This window comes from Homo sapiens, chromosome 15, assembly GCF_000001405.40.
Source record: "Homo sapiens chromosome 15, GRCh38.p14 Primary Assembly".
Classification (NCBI taxonomy): domain Eukaryota; kingdom Metazoa; phylum Chordata; class Mammalia; order Primates; family Hominidae; genus Homo; species Homo sapiens.
This window is the reverse complement of record NC_000015.10, coordinates 50,298,355-50,317,359: the sequence shown is the minus strand read 5'-3', so window position 1 is coordinate 50,317,359 and position 19,005 is coordinate 50,298,355. Positions and strand designations below refer to the sequence as shown.

The following is a 19,005-nucleotide window of genomic DNA, read 5'->3' as shown; positions in this document are numbered from 1 at the left end:
GAATCTCGGCTCACTGCAACCTCTGCCTCCCGGGTTCAAGCGATTCTCTGCCTCAGCCTCCGGAGTAGCTGGGATTACAGGCGTCAGCCACCACACCCAGCTAATTCTTTTAATTTTTTTATTTTTAGTAAAGGTGGGATTTCACTGTGTTGGCGAGGCTGGTCTTGAACTCCTGACCTCAGGTGATCCACCTGCCTCGGCCTCCCAAAGTGCTGGGATTACAGGCATGAGCCACTACACTCGGCTCCAAGTGTTTTTCTATTAAGATCATGGTATATATACAACTTAGAGTCCTGATTCTTAAACTGTTACATACTGTTTGTAAATATTTTCAAATGAATATATATAGTATTATTTTAAAAATATTTTTATCTTTTAGAGATCTGTACTGAAATATTAGAGATAATATTATATAATGTCTAACACTTGATTGAAAACAATGGGTGGAGTTGGGAAATGAGTCAGCCATTAATTGATAATATTAAACTAAATGGCTATGTGGGAGTTTATTATATGACTGTCTAGTTTATATATACTACAAATTGTTCATAATGTAAAAGAAATAAATCACTACAGTATTCCATTATGACATATCTTAATTTCTTTAATCATTGTTTGTGGTTGTTTTTTTCCTTATTTTAAATAACATTAGTATTGATATATTTAGATTTTTGAATAGTTTCCTTATGATGGGTTTATTTGAGTAGAATTACTAGGTCAAAGAGTATGAACATTTTAAAGACTGGGTGTGTGTAGGGATGTGTGTGTAATACAAAATTGGAGTGGAGAAAATCTTTAGGAGATTTATATTGGATTTATAATTGTACTCATTGAGCATAAGAATTATATAGCAAGTTTATTTTAAATTTTTAATGTGAGTAAAGGCTTATTAAATATAATAGGTGTAAACATTTTAAAAATTCATATTCTTATTTAAGAGTGCTAGTAACCATTCACGTGGAACTAGTACTTTATGCTTTTATAGAGTTTTCCTGTCTAGTACATGCCATAATCCTCACAACAACTCTATAAGCTGTAAATTACGGAAATTCAAAACAAAATAGACTAAGCTTTAACATGTAATTATTGGTAGTAATTCCTGTTACCACTAGATGGCCATCTTGGCATGTACTTTGAGCAAAAGTAGCTAGTTTGTATAATAGATTTATTATTAACATACATTTTAATTGGAGTAAAGAACTTATTTGCCACAGCAGAAAAGCAATATATTTTTGTTGTTAAACTAAATGATTTTTTAAAAATCTAGCACTTTATGTCTGAGGATTTTTGTTTGTTTTTGAGACAGTCTTGCTCTGTTGCCCAGGCTGGAGTGCAGTGGAGCAATCTTGGCTCACTACAGCCTCTGCCTCCTGGGTTCAGGGATTCTCCTGCTTCAGCCACCTGAGTAGCTGGGACCACACCCAGCTAATTTTTGTATTTTTTAGCAGAGATGGGCGGGGTTTCACCATGTTGGCTAGGCTGGTCTCAAACTCCTGGCCTCAAGTGATCTTCCCTTCTCGGCCTCCCAAAGTGCTAGGATTACAGGCTTGAGTCACTGCACCCGTCCAGAATTTTAATATATAGATATTGAACTGAGTAAATTAGTGACTTGACCTGGAGCTATGCTCCCCTTGGTCAATGTAGTTGTCTTATTACAACTGAGTTCTTCTAAGGGTCAAAAACTACGATGAGTGTGTGTGGTCCCTGTCAGGTGAGAATCAGAAGTGAAAATGCTACGATTTTGTTTTCATTATTTAAAACTTTACTAATTATCTTGACAAGAAAATCAGAGGACCTTTGATTTTTGTCTTGCTTGATCTCATGTGTATTTTCTTCCATTGATTTCAATCTTATTAGCCCCATTGCCACCTTTTTATGATAAATATTTTGTATTGCCCCTTCCGCTAACTTTAAATGAAAATCATAGTTGCTGGGTGCAGTGGCTCATGCCTATAGTCCCAGCACTTTGGGAGGCTGCAGTAGGCAGATTGCTTGAGCACAGGAGTTCAAGACCAGCCTGGGCAACATGGCAAAAACCCATTTCTACAAAAAATACAAAAATCAGCCGGGTTTAGTGGTGTACTCTTGTAGTTGCAGCTACTCGGGAGACTGAGGCGGGAGGATCGGTTGAGCCTGGGAGGTCGAGGCTGTGGTGAACTATGATCTCACCGCTGTACTCCAGCCTGGGCTACAGAGAGAGACTCTATCTCAAAAGAAAAGAAAGAAAATCATAGTTAATGTTACTGATCTGCATAATTTCAAAAAAATCATGTTTTGATTATAATATAAAGGATAATTTGAAAATAAGCAATTTATAATAAATTGTGTATTAAAATATGTAAATACTTGAGCACACTACATTAGATGTCACAGTGAGGTAGTAAAATACTTATACCAGCACATAAAATCACTGTGAATGTGATAGCTGGACAAGCTGATTGATACGTGATATTGGTGATGCAGATGCCAAAGTGGCATTGACATGATTTCCAAAATGGTAAACAACTCTTAGTAAATTTCTGAACAAAACAAAATAGATTTATAGTATGGCTGCATTCTAGAATATTTGGAATACATTAACACTGTGGAAAAATACGTTTTGTTTACATGTTATATTCCAGCCGTAGATATATTTTCAATGGAATCTTTGAAAATTATCTAGAACATGTGACAATTCTTTGTCCTACAGGATTATTCCCTCCTTTGCTGGACCTCTAGTATCCATGGCACTTGCCCATTAAATGCTAGCAGAGCATCCTCACCTTCAGTCTCCAAAATGCCTCTATAAACATACAAAGGGCCCTGAAGGGGGCAGTGCTGCTACCAATGAGAACCACTGATTTCCAAGAATCCATCTACATTAATCTACCATATGGCGGCCGGGCGCGGTGGCTCACGCCTGTAATCCCAGCACTATGGGAGGCCGAGGCGGGCAGATCACGAGGTGAGGAGATCGAGACCATCCTGGCTAACACGGTGAAACCCTGTCTCTACTAAAAATACAAAAAATTAGCCGGGCGTGGTGGCTGGCGCCTGTACTCCCAGCTACTCGGGAGGCTGAGGCAGGAGAATGGTGTGAACCTGGGAGGTGGAGCTTGCAGTGAGCCGAGATCACGCCACTGCACTCCAGCCTGGGCAACAGAGCGAGACTCCGTCTCAAAAAATAAATAAATAAATAAATAAATAAATCTACCGTATGGCTGTATTGCTCATGGAATTTTAAAACCAGAGTAACTTAAGTATATTAGGTCCTAAACTGTGATATGTTTTGAATAATTAAGACAATTGAATAATTATGGTAAAAGTCGATTTGTTCAAATGCTTCATGATTTTATTATAATTCATGTAAGCAGATCTATGATTGATATTTTAAGTTCCCAACATTATACATTTTCTTTGTTTTTTCCGCTCATCCTCTCTAGTAAGTCAGGAACATAAAACTTTCCTTAATGTTATCATTTGCTTAGTTGACAGTCATACAATGTAATTTGTCCCTTTGAAAAAAAATTTTTTAAATTAGGTAATATAGTAACATTAGAAACTTTGTAAAATGACAAAATTTCCCATAATCATACCATCCTAAACAATTGTTAATATTTTTCAGTATTTTATACTTTATATGCATATTTTGACGTTAAAAAGATTTATATCTTTTCATAATGTGGCATAAATTTTTTGTTGTTTATATAGCTTCAAAACTATTAGGTTAAATTACTGCATTTTTTTCCTTTAGATTCTACAATTCAATCATTTTCTTACCTTTAGATTGGTCACATTAGAAGAGTTATATATAATATATATGTGTATGCATATATAATCTTTACTGATAAATCTGTTTCAATATATTTTTCCTTTAGAATAGATTCTTAGAAGTGGGATCACTTATTGGGTCAATGGACTTGGATATTTTTGTAACTTGTTAAATTTGCCCAGTTGACTAAAAAATAAAGCTGATCCACTTATATTACTATCAGCATATCTGAGTTGTCAATATATCAAAGCATCAGTTTCACTTAATTCTTGGCTGCATCAGGAATTACTTTAAAATTATTTACTTTATGTTAACCTGATTAACAGTGACACTGAGCATTTTTTGCCCTTGTGAATTATTTCTATTTTCTTTTCTGTAAAACATATGGTCCTGTCTTTTAACTATTGATGTGTTGGGTCCTTGCTGTTTACTTTTCCCCCACCTTTTCATTTTGAGTCAGACCTTTTAAATAAGTAAAACATGAATGTTTCTTCTAGTCATTTTTGTGGTAAATATATTTCTTTGCCATTTCTTATTTTGATTATTTTAATATGTAGAAGTTGCACATTTTTATGAGACTCAACAGTTATCTACCCATAGAAAATACTATGTGTTATCAAAGAAAGAACATAAGACAGTCAAAATTCAGGGTTCTGGACAGAGATATTTATAATACTTGTTATATTTGACAAAGGACTCATATCCAGAACATATGTCAGAACGCTTACAAATCAATAAAAAAAAGACAGACAACCCAGTTTCAAAAGGTGGGGAAAAGCCCTAAACTCTCACTTCACAAAAGATACTCAGATATCTAAACCATTTGGCAGTATGTATGCTGAATGAATGCAAACTGATTTTATATTACCTGTGTAAAACCTATTTAAAAATGTAGATTTTTGGAAAGATAAATTTCATCGTAAAGCCAAATTTATATCATTCAGAGTATAAATGCTGTATTTGTTAGTGTGACCAGTTTAGATTTTACCGTACTTCTGTAGGAGAGAGGTCGGTTTCTTTTTGCTTTATCCTGCCTTTAATAGGAAATTATTTTTGCAGGTTTCTTCCCTGTTGAATATGATGTTAATTTTTACTGTCCAGCAGTTACATATTATCTAGGAAAAAATGCCTCATTGGAGATCAGTAATCTCTATAGATCTTAGCGTCTTTAAGCAGGATTGAGGAGTATCTTGGCTTTCAGTGACTCCATCAAGGTATGAGAGAATAGGAGAAAAAAAGGAAAGGAAATCAGAAATTCAAGGATGAAAATGTTGCGAGTGTCACAGAGAAGTGTATTTAAAAAACCCATATAAATCCCACAAGTACATGTGGTTGTTTTTCCTATTCTTTACTACAGGATATAATATAGATTATTTTTTTTTTTTGAGATGGAGTCTCACTCTTGCCCAGGCTGGATTGAATTTTTAGTAGAGACAGGGTTTCACCCTGTTGGCCGGGCTGGTCTCGAACACCTGACCTCAAGTGATTCACCCACCTCGGCCTCCCAGAGTGGTGGGATTACAGGTGTAAGCTGCTGCGCCTTGCCATAATATAGATTATTTTTATCCTTACAAATGAAACAATTCTAAGAAATTCTTTCTTGCCTTGTGACGAAGGCCTGTTTGGGATATGTATATCTCACCTAATTATTGTGCAAGCCTCCAAGTATTAGTATCTGTCCCTGGTTACCTCTTCTGTGCTTGGTTATTCCCATCGTAGCTAATCTACTAAAAATTATAGGCATAATTCTGTTTATTTTCATGGACAGCTTTTCTTATAATTACCCCTTTTAGATTTCTTATCCCTTTTAATGATGTAGAACATTTTGTTTCTTTCTGGCAGAAATAACTTTTTCAAGCCCCATTTGCCAACTTCCTTCTCACACATACGCTCCTTTCTCTTCCTTATTGAGTGCAAGTTGAGTATCCCTTATCTGAAATACTTAGGTCCATAATGTTTCCGATTTTGGGTTTTTTCAGATTTTGGAATATTTGCATTAATACTTACTGGTTCAGCATCCCTAATGCAAAAATGCAAAATCTGAAATGCTCTAATGAGTATTTCCTTTGATGCTTAAAAAGTTTCAGATTTCAGATTTTTGGATTAGGGATACTCAACCTGTAATAGTTGTTCATACCAGGTAGAGATACACTAATCAACCTGCCATTACTCTCTTTATAATTTATTTTCTCTTGACTACTTACCTAACCCTCAGAGTATATACTTTTTTTGAGATAAATTTATACCCCAGGCACATTTTTTCATTGTAAATCTCAGGGATTCCATATATTCCCTTCCCCATGGGCCTAAAATTCTGCTTTTCCTTACTTAGGATACTGTATGACATAATTGAGTAATCTTCCAGCTGGATAGTCTTTCTGGGTTTGGAAACTTTCTTCTCAGAACTGTCATCCCTTGAATTTGAATGTTTGTGATACATTCAAATCTTAATTTACCTATATTCTACTGTCATAATCTTTTTTCTGACATATATTTCAATATTTCTTATTCAAGAAGACACAAATACATACACACCCATGCACACCTCACATCCCAGGCTGGGACATTAGCCTTTTCAGATATATTAAATTCAAGGCACAAGATATTCTTTCCTGGTTTTTTTTTTTTTTTTTGAGACAGAGTTTACTTTGTTGCCCAGGCTAGAGTGCAGTGGCATGATCTCGGCTCACTGCAACCTCCGCCTCCTGGGTTCAAGTGATTCTTGTGCCTCAGCCTCCTGAGTAGCTGGGACCCTAGGTGTGAGCCCCCATGCCCAGCCAATTTTTTATTTTTAGTAGAGATAGGGTTTCACCATGTTGTCCAGGCTGGTCTCGAACTCCTGGCCTCAAGGATCCACCTGCCTCAGCCTCCCAGACTGCTGGGATTACAGGGATGTGCCATCGCACCTGGCCTCTAGCCTCTAATGAGACAGTCTATTCGTAATACTATTACTGTTTTTAGTATTTTCATAGAATGTGAATTGTTTACTTTCTGCAAGAACTTAAATATACATTGCATGTAGGAGGGCAGAAAATTTGTTTTTTAAAATTTTGAACACATTTACTATTGCAAAAAAATTTATGCTAAGTTTAGTTTAATTTGCACCAACAACAGATGACAATATCTTGCACTTTATTTACTTTTATGAAAAATTTTATTGCTGCAAACCCTCCAGTAAAAACAATTAGTTGCCAGTTTTAAATTTTAGACCAGCTTGGCTGGGTGGGGTGGCTCATGCCTGTAATCCCATCACTTTGGGAGGCCAAGGCGGGCAGATCATTTGAGGTCAGGAGTTTGAGACCAGCCTGGCTAACATGGTGAAACCCTGTCTCTACTGAAAATAGAAAAATTAGCTGGGTGTGGTGGTGCATGCCTGTAGTCCAAGCTACTTGGGAGGCTGAGGCAGGAGAATCACATGAACCCAGGAGGCGGAGGTTGCAGTGAGCCAACATCGTGCCACTGCACTCCAGCCTGGGTGACAGGCCGAGACTCTGTGTCAAGAAAAAAATAAATAAATAAAAATTTAGGCCAGCTTTTCTCTGCTACTTACCTCTTCTATCTTTTACCAGATGTATTTGGAGAATTTAAACTACTTTTATTCTAAGTAAAAACTTAATGAGAAAGGAAAATGGATTCTAAAATCCAAATATAAATTGCTTTTGTATGATCTGTAATTTTAAATTAACCATAGCACACTCTTTTGAAGGGATAATTGAGAACTGACTTATTAATAAAGACAGGAAGGGAAAATGTCATGTCATAGTGTATAAATGGAGATTTTGATGTTCAGTTCATCTATGTTTTGTTTAGATGTCCCTGGTAGATTTGGGAAAGAAGCTTTTAGAAGCGGCACGAGCAGGTCAAGATGATGAAGTTCGTATTTTGATGGCAAATGGAGCTCCCTTTACTACAGACTGGGTAAAGAATGATTTTAATATTGTGTGTTCTTTTTCCTTCTCATTTTTGAGTTTTTGCAGAGAAAAATGTAGTCAGTATTGTGTTTATAAGTGGTAAAAAGTTATTATTTTTGCAAATGTGTTTATTATTTTAGAATTATAACTGTCCTAAAAGAAGTGGTTTATATTATTTTCTTTGATATTGGACAACCTTATCCAAATATTTCATCCACAAAGAGTTTTTCTTTCAAACTGTGGAGTGCATTAATGTGGCATGAATATAAAAATGTATCTGCTTGGGATTTAATTTAAAGGCCTTATAAATAGCACAGGTAGAATTTATAATTCAGAAAGATACTGATAAAGATTGGAGTTAGTGTTAATAGTCACTCCTAAAAGAAAAACAAGTTTATGTTTCAATTATTACTTGTAAAACTGTTGCAGACATGACGAAAGAGGAAGAAAGGAATGGGAATGAGATCTTGACAACTATGGAAAGAAGGTAGTTGTGGGGAAGGCAAAAAAAAATAACTCTTTAATTCTGGGGGCAAATAAAAAAGTATTGTCTTGTGGATATGGAATGCTAGGAATCTGAATTAACCTGCCCATTGGTAACAACTAAAAATTCCAGATTTTTGATTTTGCCGTTTTTGCCTTTCTTTCTCTTTTTACATTTTTCATGAAAAAACAAAATTTTTTATTATAGAAAATTTCAAATATATATCAACGATATCCCTGTAATACCCTTTACCCAACTTCAAAAATTATCAAATCATGATGAATATTGTTTCCTCTATAACTCTGTCTACTGTATTATTTTTTGTTCTGTATTATTTTAAAGCAAATTCCAGGGACCATATCATTTTATCCATAAATGTTTCTTTAAAGAATAAATAAATCTTTAAAGAATAAAGACTTTTTGATGAAATATTTTAAAGAAAGTCTTCTTAAGTACACTGCTGAATTAGAAAGAAAGAGATTATCAACCTGAAAAACTAAGTGAAGGCAAGAACCCAGAGAAATTTTACCCTAAAGAACATTAGGTGAACTCACACTTGTCTGGTGGTTTTTCCACCTCACTGGCTTGGGGTACTAAAGCTAAAGACCTGAGAGTGTTCATGGAGAGAAGTCTGATAGGAGATCTTATCTCATAATTCTGGAATCCCAAAGAGCTGCACCTTCAGTGTAGGGATAAAGCAGGAATACCCTGTCCCTCCTCCTGTCTGCTCCTGCCCTTGCCCCTGTTGCCGTGATGCTGCAAAGATAATAAGCTGATGTGAACCAAGACATCAAATGGAGAGAGGAAAACAATCTGATGGTGAGAATTTGGAATCACAAGGCATCCTTTTTACACACTTGCAGCCTGAACTCATAAATACTTGTGTAGTCTAAAAAACTGTAAACTGAGAAATGAATTTGAAGTGATCTTTGGACTAGGGATTACCCCAGGCTCTTGACAGAAGCAAATGAATATCTGCTCTGGAGGAACCTGCCTTCATCCCAGGCTTCATATCCACAAATGAAATTCAAAGGAAAGTGAGCAGTCAGAAATAACTAAACACATGAACACATGCCAATTTGGACAGTAATCTGCTAAAACAACTGTCAACAGAAGCAGACCTATAAGGACTTGAGATAAAATTTTAGTAACAGATTAGAAACAGCTAAAGAGAAAATTAGTAAACTGAAAGGTATGAAAAAAAAAATGATCCAGACTATGTCACAGATAAAAATAGATAGAAAATGTAAAAGAGATGTTAGGAATCATGAAGGATCATGTGAGAAAGTCTAACATCTGATCATAGATCCACAAAAAGAGCAAAAATAGGGATGAAATAATTCAAAGAGGTAATTGCTGAGAATTTTCCAGAACTGATGAAAGATGGCAGCCCACAGATTTGAGTAGCCTAACAAATCTCCAGCAGGATCAATTTAAAAACTAATCTATATCTAGATATATCATAGTGATGCTGTAGTACCTCAAGACAAAAAGATCTTTTTTTTTTTTTTTGAGATGGAGTCTCACACTGTTGCCTGGGCTGGAGTGCAATGGTTCAGTCTCGGCTCACTGCAACCTCCGCCTGCCGGGTTCAAGTGATTCTCCTGCCTCAGCCTCCCAAGTAGCTGAGATTACAGGCACCCACCACCAAGCCCAGCTAATGTTTTGTATTTTTAGTAGAGATGGGGTTTCAATATGTTGGCCAGCTGGTCTTGAACTCCTGACCCCGTGATCAGCCCGCCTCGGCCTCCCAAAGACAGAAAGATCTTAAGAAGGATTAGTATCCATAATACATAAGGAATTCCCATGGGTTAGCAATAAAAAGACAAGGCAATAGAAGACTGACTGGATATGGTGCTTTACCAAGGAGAAAGTTTGATCAATAAACATGAAAAGATACTCAACTACATTAAAATTGGGGCAAATGCAAAGTAAAATCATGAAATACTATTATATATCCACCAGATTAGCAAAAACAGTTGAGCAGTACCAAGGCTTGGTGAGGAGATGGTGGGAACTCTCAAATATTTTTGGTGGAAGTATGGAATTGGTATAATCGTTATGGAAGACAGTTTGGCAGCACATAGTAAATTTGGAGATGTGCATAGTATATGATGTAGCAGTTGGGCTTCTAAGACTATTCCCGAGAGAAGACTTGTTCATGTGCCTGAAACATATACAAGACTACTGTATTTAGCAGCAACATTATTCATAATAACACAAAAACTGGAAACAATCTAAATGTTCATCAGTAGATTGGTTAAATTAATTGTGGTTTACTCATTCAATGGAATATTATAGAACACAGAAAATTAGTAAGCTATACTTACAGTTATTAACATGGTGAATCTCATGAATACAGTGTCAAGCAAAAGAAGGCAAGTCACAGAGAAATACATGCAGTATAATTCTGTTTAAATAAAACTCAAAACAGGCAAAACCAAAGTATATTTTTTAGGGATAAGTGATACAAAGAAAACTAAGTAATGCTTGTCACAAAATTCAAAATATTAGTTACCTCTGGGGCTGGGGGAGGGGCTTGTGATCAGGGAGTGGCATGTGGGAAGATTTTTTTTTTTTTTTTTTTGAGACAGAGTTTCGCTCTGTTGCCCAGGCTGGAGTGCAGTGGCATGATCTTGGCTCACTGAAGCCTCTGCCTCCCGGGTTCAAGTGATTCTCCTGCCTCAGGCACCGAAGTAGCTGGGATAACAGGCGCCCACCCTCACACCCAGCTAATTTTTTATTTTTAGTAGATGAGGTTTCACCATGTTGGCCAGGCTGGTCTCGAACTCCTGACCTCAGGCAATCCACCTGCCTTGGCCACCCAAAGTGTTGGGATTACAGGCGTGAGCCACTGCGCCTGGCCAGATTTTAAATTACTGGCAGTGTTTTATTTCTAGACTATGGTGTTGATTCACAGGTGTTTGCCTTAAACTACATATATTGGCTGAGCACAGTGGCTTACGCTTGTAATCCCAGCACTTTGGGAGACTGAGGTGGCAGATTATTTGAGGCCAGAAGTTCAAGACCAGCATGGGCAACATAGACCCCATCTCAAACAAAAAGAAAAAAATTAGTCAGGCATGGTGGCTCAGCCTGTAGTCCTAGCTACTCTGGAGGCTGAGATGGGAGGATTGCTTGAGCCTAGGAGTTAGAGGTTACAGTGAGCTACGATAGCTCCACTGCATTCTAGCCTGGGCGACAGAGCAAGAAGCTGACTCTAAAAAAATGAATAAAAAAAAACCCAAAAAGCTACAAAAACTACATGGCCAGGTGTGGTGGCTCATATCCATAATCCCAGCACTTCGGGAGGCTGAGGGAGGAGGATCGCTTGAGCTCAGAAGTTTGAAGGTACAGTGAGCTGTGATCACCCCATTGGACTCCAGCCTGAGTGACAGAGTGAGACCCTGTCTCAGAAAAAAACAAAAAACCCTGCATATATGTATATATATTTTGTGTCAATAACCAAGAAGGGAAAGTCTCAGAAGACAAAAATAAAAAAGTAGATCCTAATGTCAAACTGAGCAAAGCTCCTGGTTGCTAAATGGGCTGTTGAGATATTTTCATTAAATACTGAAATTTAAGAGTATAGAAAAGGCTAGTTAAAGAAAAATTGACAAAGCATGGAGAAAGAAAGGATTGTTTAAGGATCTTCTTTGATCTGCTGGGATGACCTTCTCTTAAAAATGTAAGGTTTAGCTGGGTTTGTTGGTGTGTGCCTGTAGTCCCAGCTACTCTGGAGGCTGAGGTGGACAGATTGCTTGAGCCCAGCAGTTCAAAGCTGTAGTGTGTGATAATTGTACCTATGAATATCCATTGCACCCCAGCCTGGGCAACACAGTGAGGCCCTGTCTCTAATTAAACAAACAACAATTAAACAAACAAACAAACAAAAAATATATCTATCTCTCTATCTATAGATAGATAGATAGAGAGATAGGACTAAGGACCTTTATACATATATCTCACTTAATCTCTTCATAACATAATAAACTGTTTATATGTGTAAATTTCCTTAGTCCAAATATCTTAGTTCTTTGGAATATCAAGTGATGTGGTAATCAGAGGGTTATAGGGATTTTCTGTGCCTTTAAATGCATGTGATAGAACTTAATCTTCCTTCCCTCACATTTTAGTACTCCCTCTGTGTATTGTGGATGTCAATTTAATGACTAGACCACATGGAACCAATTTCAGGAGAATTGGGCTCTGTTTTGGTTTTGTCCTGATTCAACTTTGGCAAATGCACCTAAGATTTTTCCTTTGAAAAAAATCCCTTTAAAAAGATCACTGAGATGTTTCAATACGTGAATTTTTTAAGACCTACAAAACAATTTTGATCCACTTAAAGTAAAAATGTACACTGTTACATTTATTTGAGATGAATTTTACAGACGAAGTTAACTTAGCAAGTTTTGTGTGATTGGTATGAGGAATACATTCTAATACACAGAAAAATTTCTCAAACTCTATCTCTGATTTCTTTTTTTTTTTTTTTTCTTTAGACCAAAATCTCGCTGTGTCACCCAGGCTGGAGTGCAGTGGCGCGATCTCGGCTCACTGCAACCTCTGCCTCCTGGGTTCAAGCGATTCTCCTGCCTTAGCCTCCTGAGTAGCTGGGATTACAGGCACATGCCACCACGCCTGGCTAATTTCTGTATTTTTAGTAGAGATGGGGTTTCACCATGTTGGCCAGGGTGGTCTTGAATTCCTGACCTCAAGTGATCCACCCGCCTTGGCTTCCCAAAGTGCTGGGATTACAGGCGTGAGCCACCACGTTCGGCCTCTATATCTTAATTTCTAATGAAATTAATTTTGTTCAGGCAGTTTATCTGATAAAAAATAATGAAGAAAGAAAGTTTGAATTAAAGGAAATACTGGATTTTCTTCTTCATTGAGAGTGTTTGGGAATTCTTCAAGATGTCTATGAAGAGGATGTGATAAGCATGAATCTAGGCATTTCTTTTGAGTTTTGAGTTGCTATGTAAACAGATAATGTAAAGAAAATCTGTTTACTATATAAACAGAAGTGTAGTAACAATAATGTAAATGTGGATTTTTTTTTTTTTCTGTGGTACAGCTGGGAACTTCTCCACTTCATCTAGCAGCACAGTATGGTCATTATTCCACCACAGAGGTACTGCTGCGAGCTGGTGTGAGCAGAGATGCCAGAACCAAAGTGGACCGAACACCATTACATATGGCAGCTTCTGAGGGCCATGCCAGCATAGTAGAGGTTTTACTTAAGGTATGTGTTCTCTTTTTGCACTTTGCTTTTAAAATACTTTACGGTTTTATAAGAAGGAGAGGGAACTAGTTTTTGTTAAATGCCTACTTAGTATTTTATCTATAGTATTTCATTTTTTGTGTGTATAAGCCCATTAAATGAAAATTGTCTTATAGCTTTCATTTCATGAGGGACAAAACTTCATTTAGGTATATTCTTAGTTAAATCAGCTAATTGATTTCTTGGACCTTGGTCTATCTTATGATGAGGGACTACAGCATTTTTTCTTTTTGTTTTTTTTTTTTTTTTGAGACAGAATCTCTGTCACCCAGGCTGCAGTGCAGTGGCACGATCTCAGCTCACTGCAACCTCCACCTCCTGGGTTCAAGTGATTCTCCTGCCTCAGCCTCCCGAGTAGCTGGGACTACAGGCGCCCACCACCATGCCCAGCTAATTTTTGTATTTTTAGTAGAGATGGGGTTTCACCATATTGGCTTGACTGGTCTCGAACTCCTGACCTTGTGATCCGCCTGCCTTGGGCTCCCAAAGTGCTGGGATTACAGGTGTGAGCCACCATGTCCGGCCCTTAATTTTTTGTATTGTAGAGATGGGGTTTTGCCATATTGCCCAGGCTAGTTTCAAACCCCTGAGCTCAGCTGATCCAACCGCCTCGGCCTCCCAAAGTGCTGGGATTACAGGCGTGAGCCACTGCACCTGGCCTGGAACATCTATTTAACATATACATATAAATAATTGACTACATTATTTGTTCTTGCTTTAAAGCACAGAACTAATAATTTCATATCAGGAATTTTTTATGTGATATTTCATATTTTAGTAAACTCTTTGAAATATTTTTGTAGCATGGTGCTGATGTCAATGCAAAGGACATGTTAAAGATGACAGCTCTCCATTGGGCCACAGAACACAATCATCAAGAGGTGGTGGAACTTTTAATCAAATATGGTGCTGATGTACACACGCAAAGTAAATTTTGTAAAACTGCATTTGATATTTCAATAGACAATGGAAATGAAGATTTAGCAGAGATATTACAGGTAACTTTTGGCTTTTAATTTAAGAAAATAAAGAAAAAGAAGCCTTATCAGTAGAGGGATCTCTTATATTGTGCATGATTTAAACTATTGTTTGTAGCCTTTCATTTTGGACTTAGTTATTTTGGATAGGCCTTTTTCTCTTTCACTTCCTCTTTGTTTATTACTATTCATTTTCTTGATTATAAGGCCAGTCTCTTCATTAACATTAGATAAGGTGATTACTTTCTGTTTTTTAAGTTTCTGAATTTCCCTTTAGACCTTTTTTTTTTTTTTTTTTTTTTTTTTGAGCCAGAGTCTTGATCTGTCCCCCAGGCTGGAGTGTAGTGGCACGATCTTGGCTCACTGCAACTTCTGCCTCCTGGGTTCAAGCAATTCTCCTGCCCCAGCCTCTCAAATAGCTGGGACTACAGGTGCATGCTGCCATGCCTGGCTAATTTTTTGTGTTTTAAGTAGAGATGGTGTTTCATCATGTTGCCCAGGCTGGTGTTGAACTCTTGAGCTCAGGCGATCTGCCTGCCTCGGCCTCCCAAAGTGCTGGGATTACAGGCGTGAGCCACTGCGCCTGGCCCTAGACATTTTATTCTATTATTTTTGTTGCATTTTGATACTATATGGTTTTTCCAAGTCTACTATAAATGACTTTATAAAAATTAAAAAACATATATATTAGCAACCATAATATCATTCCTTGAGTGAGTGATGCAGTTTGATTTGTTTCTTTTATCTTTCAGCATCCTCAAAAATATCTGTTGTTTTTGGCTTTTGGGAAGATTTTTCTAGTAACCAACATTACTTCTCTTATTTTCAGCCAGATGACATAATATAAATTATCTTCTTTAATTACTGCCTCTTCTTGCCTGTTTGTTCCCAATCCCAGCAGTAGAACTCTTCTTTTCTAAGACTATCTGACTCCTTTGAGCTTCCACTAGTTACTTAAAAGATGTTTTATGTTCAGGAAAATGAATTCTACCATGCCTCTTTTCATTCCTTTTACTCCTAAGAGTGCAGTTTGGGGGTTGGAGTTGAAGATGGGGAACAATTAATTGAGAAGGACATGCTTTATATATGTGGTATTATGTATTGCCAAACGTAGAAGAAATAATTAAATTCCTATAGCTACAGGGCAGAAATATTTTTTGTTTGTTTTGTTTTTGTTTTTGTTTTTTGAGATGGGGGTCTCACTATGTTGCCCATGCTGGTCTTGAACTCCTGGGCTTAACCACTCCTTCTGCCTCAGCCCCCTGAATAGCTGGGATTACAGGCACCTGCCACCTCAGCCAGCTTAATGTCCAGTTGTTCTGTGTTCTGTTAAAAACCTTTTAGATACTCGTTTCTCCTCTCCCAGGATTTTGCTGCTTTACCTAAGAGGGGGACTTGGGATATAAATATATACCCATGATGTGCCCCTACACTGTCAGTGGACCTTAGACAAATATTTCCACTTGTACTATGTGATTCTTCTTAGAGAATACTCCTTTATATGTGTTTGTATTATATGGAGAATTTGTGCTATATGTTCTGGTTATAATTCTGAAAACACTGTGGTCATTTTTTCCCTAGATTGCTATGCAGAACCAAATCAACACAAACCCAGAGAGTCCTGACACTGTGACAATACATGCTGCAACACCACAGTTTATCATTGGACCTGGAGGGGTGGTGAACCTAACAGGTCTGGTATCTTCAGAAAATTCATCCAAGGCAACAGGTATTGAGATGCATATAGGATAGGCTTTGGGATTTTATGCTTTAGTAGGTATTCATCCTTGTAAGAAAGGACGGTTGGAGAATGAGGGTAAGATTCTATCAGCCACCTTTGTTTTCTTTGGTATAACTGGCAAAAAGATTTTTATGAGACAAAACAATCTGAAGAAAGGTGATATTACAAAATTTACTGCAGTATTACCTTTCAAAAGCTAATGCTATCCAAGCTTTGTTTAAGAGTCAGTAAGATAAATAGAATATCAGAAATATGCATTGGATTAAGCTCCTTAGAAATTCAAATCTATTTTCTTTTTTCTTACAGATGAAACGGGTGTATCTGCTGTTCAGTTTGGAAACTCTTCTACATCAGTATTAGCTACATTAGCTGCCTTAGCTGAAGCATCTGCTCCATTGTCCAATTCTTCAGAAACTCCAGGTTAGAAAAACGAGTCTAATGTGTACATTAAAATTGCAGATTCAGGCTGGGTGCCGTGGCTCACACCTGTAATCCTAGCACTTTGGGAGGGCGAGGCGGGTGGATTGCCTGAGCTCAGGAGTTTGAGACCAGCCTGGACAACATAGTGAAACTCTGTTTCTACTAAAAATACAGAAAATTAGCCAGGCGTGGTGGCACATGGCCTGTAATCCCAGCTACTCGGGAGGCTGAGGCAGGAGGATTGCTTGAACCCGGGAGGTGAAGGCTGCAGTGAGCTGAGTTTGTGCCACTGCACTCCAGCCTGGGTGATAGAGCAAGACTCTGTCTCAAAAAAAAAAAAAAAAAAAAAAAACCAAAAACAGTTGCAGATTCAAATATTTACAAAGGCCAGGAAGACAATAAAAGGCTAAAGTGGGCAGGATTGAGATTACACCCGGCTGAAGAATGGGGCAAGGGCAGGGAGGCATCTGTGACTCAACTCTAGCTGATTATAGTCATCAGTCCAGTATTCCCAAATTCTGTTTTTTAATAGGAAGCTGTGAATCTGGATTTTAAAAGAACATTAAATCTTGGTAACTAATTGAAAAACAAAACTTGTGTGGCTCACAGAAAAAAATGTCCCTGTCTCTAATTTGGCTCTTGATTTACTAGTTTGTGACTTTTTGTTTAAACAACTCACTTTGGCTGGGCATGGTAGCTCACACCTGTAATCCTAACACTTTGAGAGGCCAAGATAGGTGGATTGCTTGAGCCCAGAACCCTGGGCAACATGGTGAAACCCTATCTCTACCAAAAAATATAAAAATTAGTCAGGTGTGGTGGTCCACTCCTGTGGTCCCAGCTGCTCAGGAGGCTGAGGTCAGAGGATCGCTTGAACCTGGGAGGCAGAGGTTGCCATGAGCCAAGATCATGCCACTGCATTCCAGCCTAGGCGACTGAATGAGACCCTGCCTCAAAAAAAAAACCCAAAACCAAAAAACACTTTTTTCATAAATTTTAATTTTTAGCAGCTCTACTAGAGTGTTATAAAATCTTAATGACTGATAGAACTAGGAAATAGTATACAGAAACCACTGTTAAAGGGTTACCTGGCTGGGTGCGGTGGCTTGCTCCTGTAAGCCCAGCACTTTGGGAGGCTGAGGCGGGTGGATCACCTGAGGTCAGGAGTTCGAGACCAGCCTGACCAATATGGAGAAATCCCGTCTCTGCTAAAAATACAAAATTAGCCAGGCGTAGTGGCCCATGCCTGTAATCCCAGCTACTCGGGAGGCTGAGGCAGGAGAATGGCTTGAACCCGGGAGGTGGAGGTTGCGGTGAGCCGAGATCACGCCATTGCACTCCAGCCTGGGCAACAAGAGCAAAACTCTGTCTCAAAAAGAAATGAAAGGGTTACCTGTTGTTAAATGATGACAAACAGTATTCATGAACATTTGGTTTATACAAGATTTACCTTTATACTTAACCAAAATACTTCTTGATGTAATTATTATGTCGGTAAAATTTAATTAGGAAATTTTTTAAATTCCAAGAAAATATTTTTCTGTAGCTTAAGCCATTATATTTGGTTCAGTGCTTATAAAAGCAAAGAATAATTTGTCATTCATTTTTTAAATTAGTGTTTTTTCAAAATTTGATCAATAATAACAACATTTCATCAAATGCTTACTCTCTCTGCTAGGCACTGTGATAAATATTTTACTTATAATCTCATTTATTCCTCACCAGAAAGCTTTAAGGTGGATATTACTGTAATATTCTTGACTTGGAGGAGTTGGGGGAATGCTACCTTTTTCTTTTCTCTTTTTCTTTTCTTTTCTCTTTCTTTTTTTTTTTTTTTGACATGGAGTCTCATTTTGTCACACAGGCTGGAGTACAGTGGTACAGTTTTGGCTCACTGCAGCCTCCATCTCCCAGGTTCAAGCAGTTCTCCTGCCTCAGCCTCCCCAGTAGCTGGGATTACAGGCATGCACCACCACACCCAGCTATTTTTTGTATTTTTAGTAGGGACGGGGTTTCACCATGTTGGCCAAGCTGGTCTCGAACTCCTCACCTCAGTGATCTGCCTTCCTCGGCCTCCCAAGGTGCTAGGATTACAGGCATGAGCCACTGTGCCCAGCCTCTTTTTGAAAATAACATTTATCCATTCTTTAGCTTCTGTAGCATTATAATCTAAGTTTGAATCCAAGCCTTTATATTTGGGAGTCTTAAGATTTGTATGAATCACTTTTGGCCATTAGCAGTTATATGCATCATCATACTAACATGCTGCTTTTATAACCTATGCCTGGATCTATTTAATACTTATGTAATTGCAGAAGCATAGCAAAGAAAACTGATTTCATTGGTGGTTTCTATTTGGTTAAACTTGTAAATTTCTTTTCTTTAATTAAATAACTTACCTCTGGCCGGGTGTGGTGGCTCATGCCTATAATTC

General features: G+C 37.7%; 1 protein-coding gene across 14 annotated transcripts in view; it reads left to right on the top strand.

Annotated features, from left to right (window-relative positions):
* GABPB1 (GA binding protein transcription factor subunit beta 1) overlaps nt 1-19,005 on the top strand; it is a 79,810-nt gene that overhangs the window by 37,839 nt on the left and 22,966 nt on the right. For 8 of the 14 annotated variants that reach the window (XM_024449886.2, NM_005254.6, NM_001320915.2 and 5 more), the window contains 5 exons: nt 7,562-7,669; nt 13,227-13,394; nt 14,237-14,431; nt 15,992-16,139; nt 16,458-16,571. In XM_024449886.2, the coding sequence (XP_024305654.1) occupies nt 7,562-7,669; nt 13,227-13,394; nt 14,237-14,431; nt 15,992-16,139; nt 16,458-16,571 (733 nt within the window). The remainder of the gene's footprint in view (nt 1-7,561; nt 7,670-13,226; nt 13,395-14,236; nt 14,432-15,991; nt 16,140-16,457; nt 16,572-19,005) is intronic. The other 6 variants (XM_011521426.4, NM_016654.5, XM_017022053.3 and 3 more) reach the window with 1 other exon arrangement.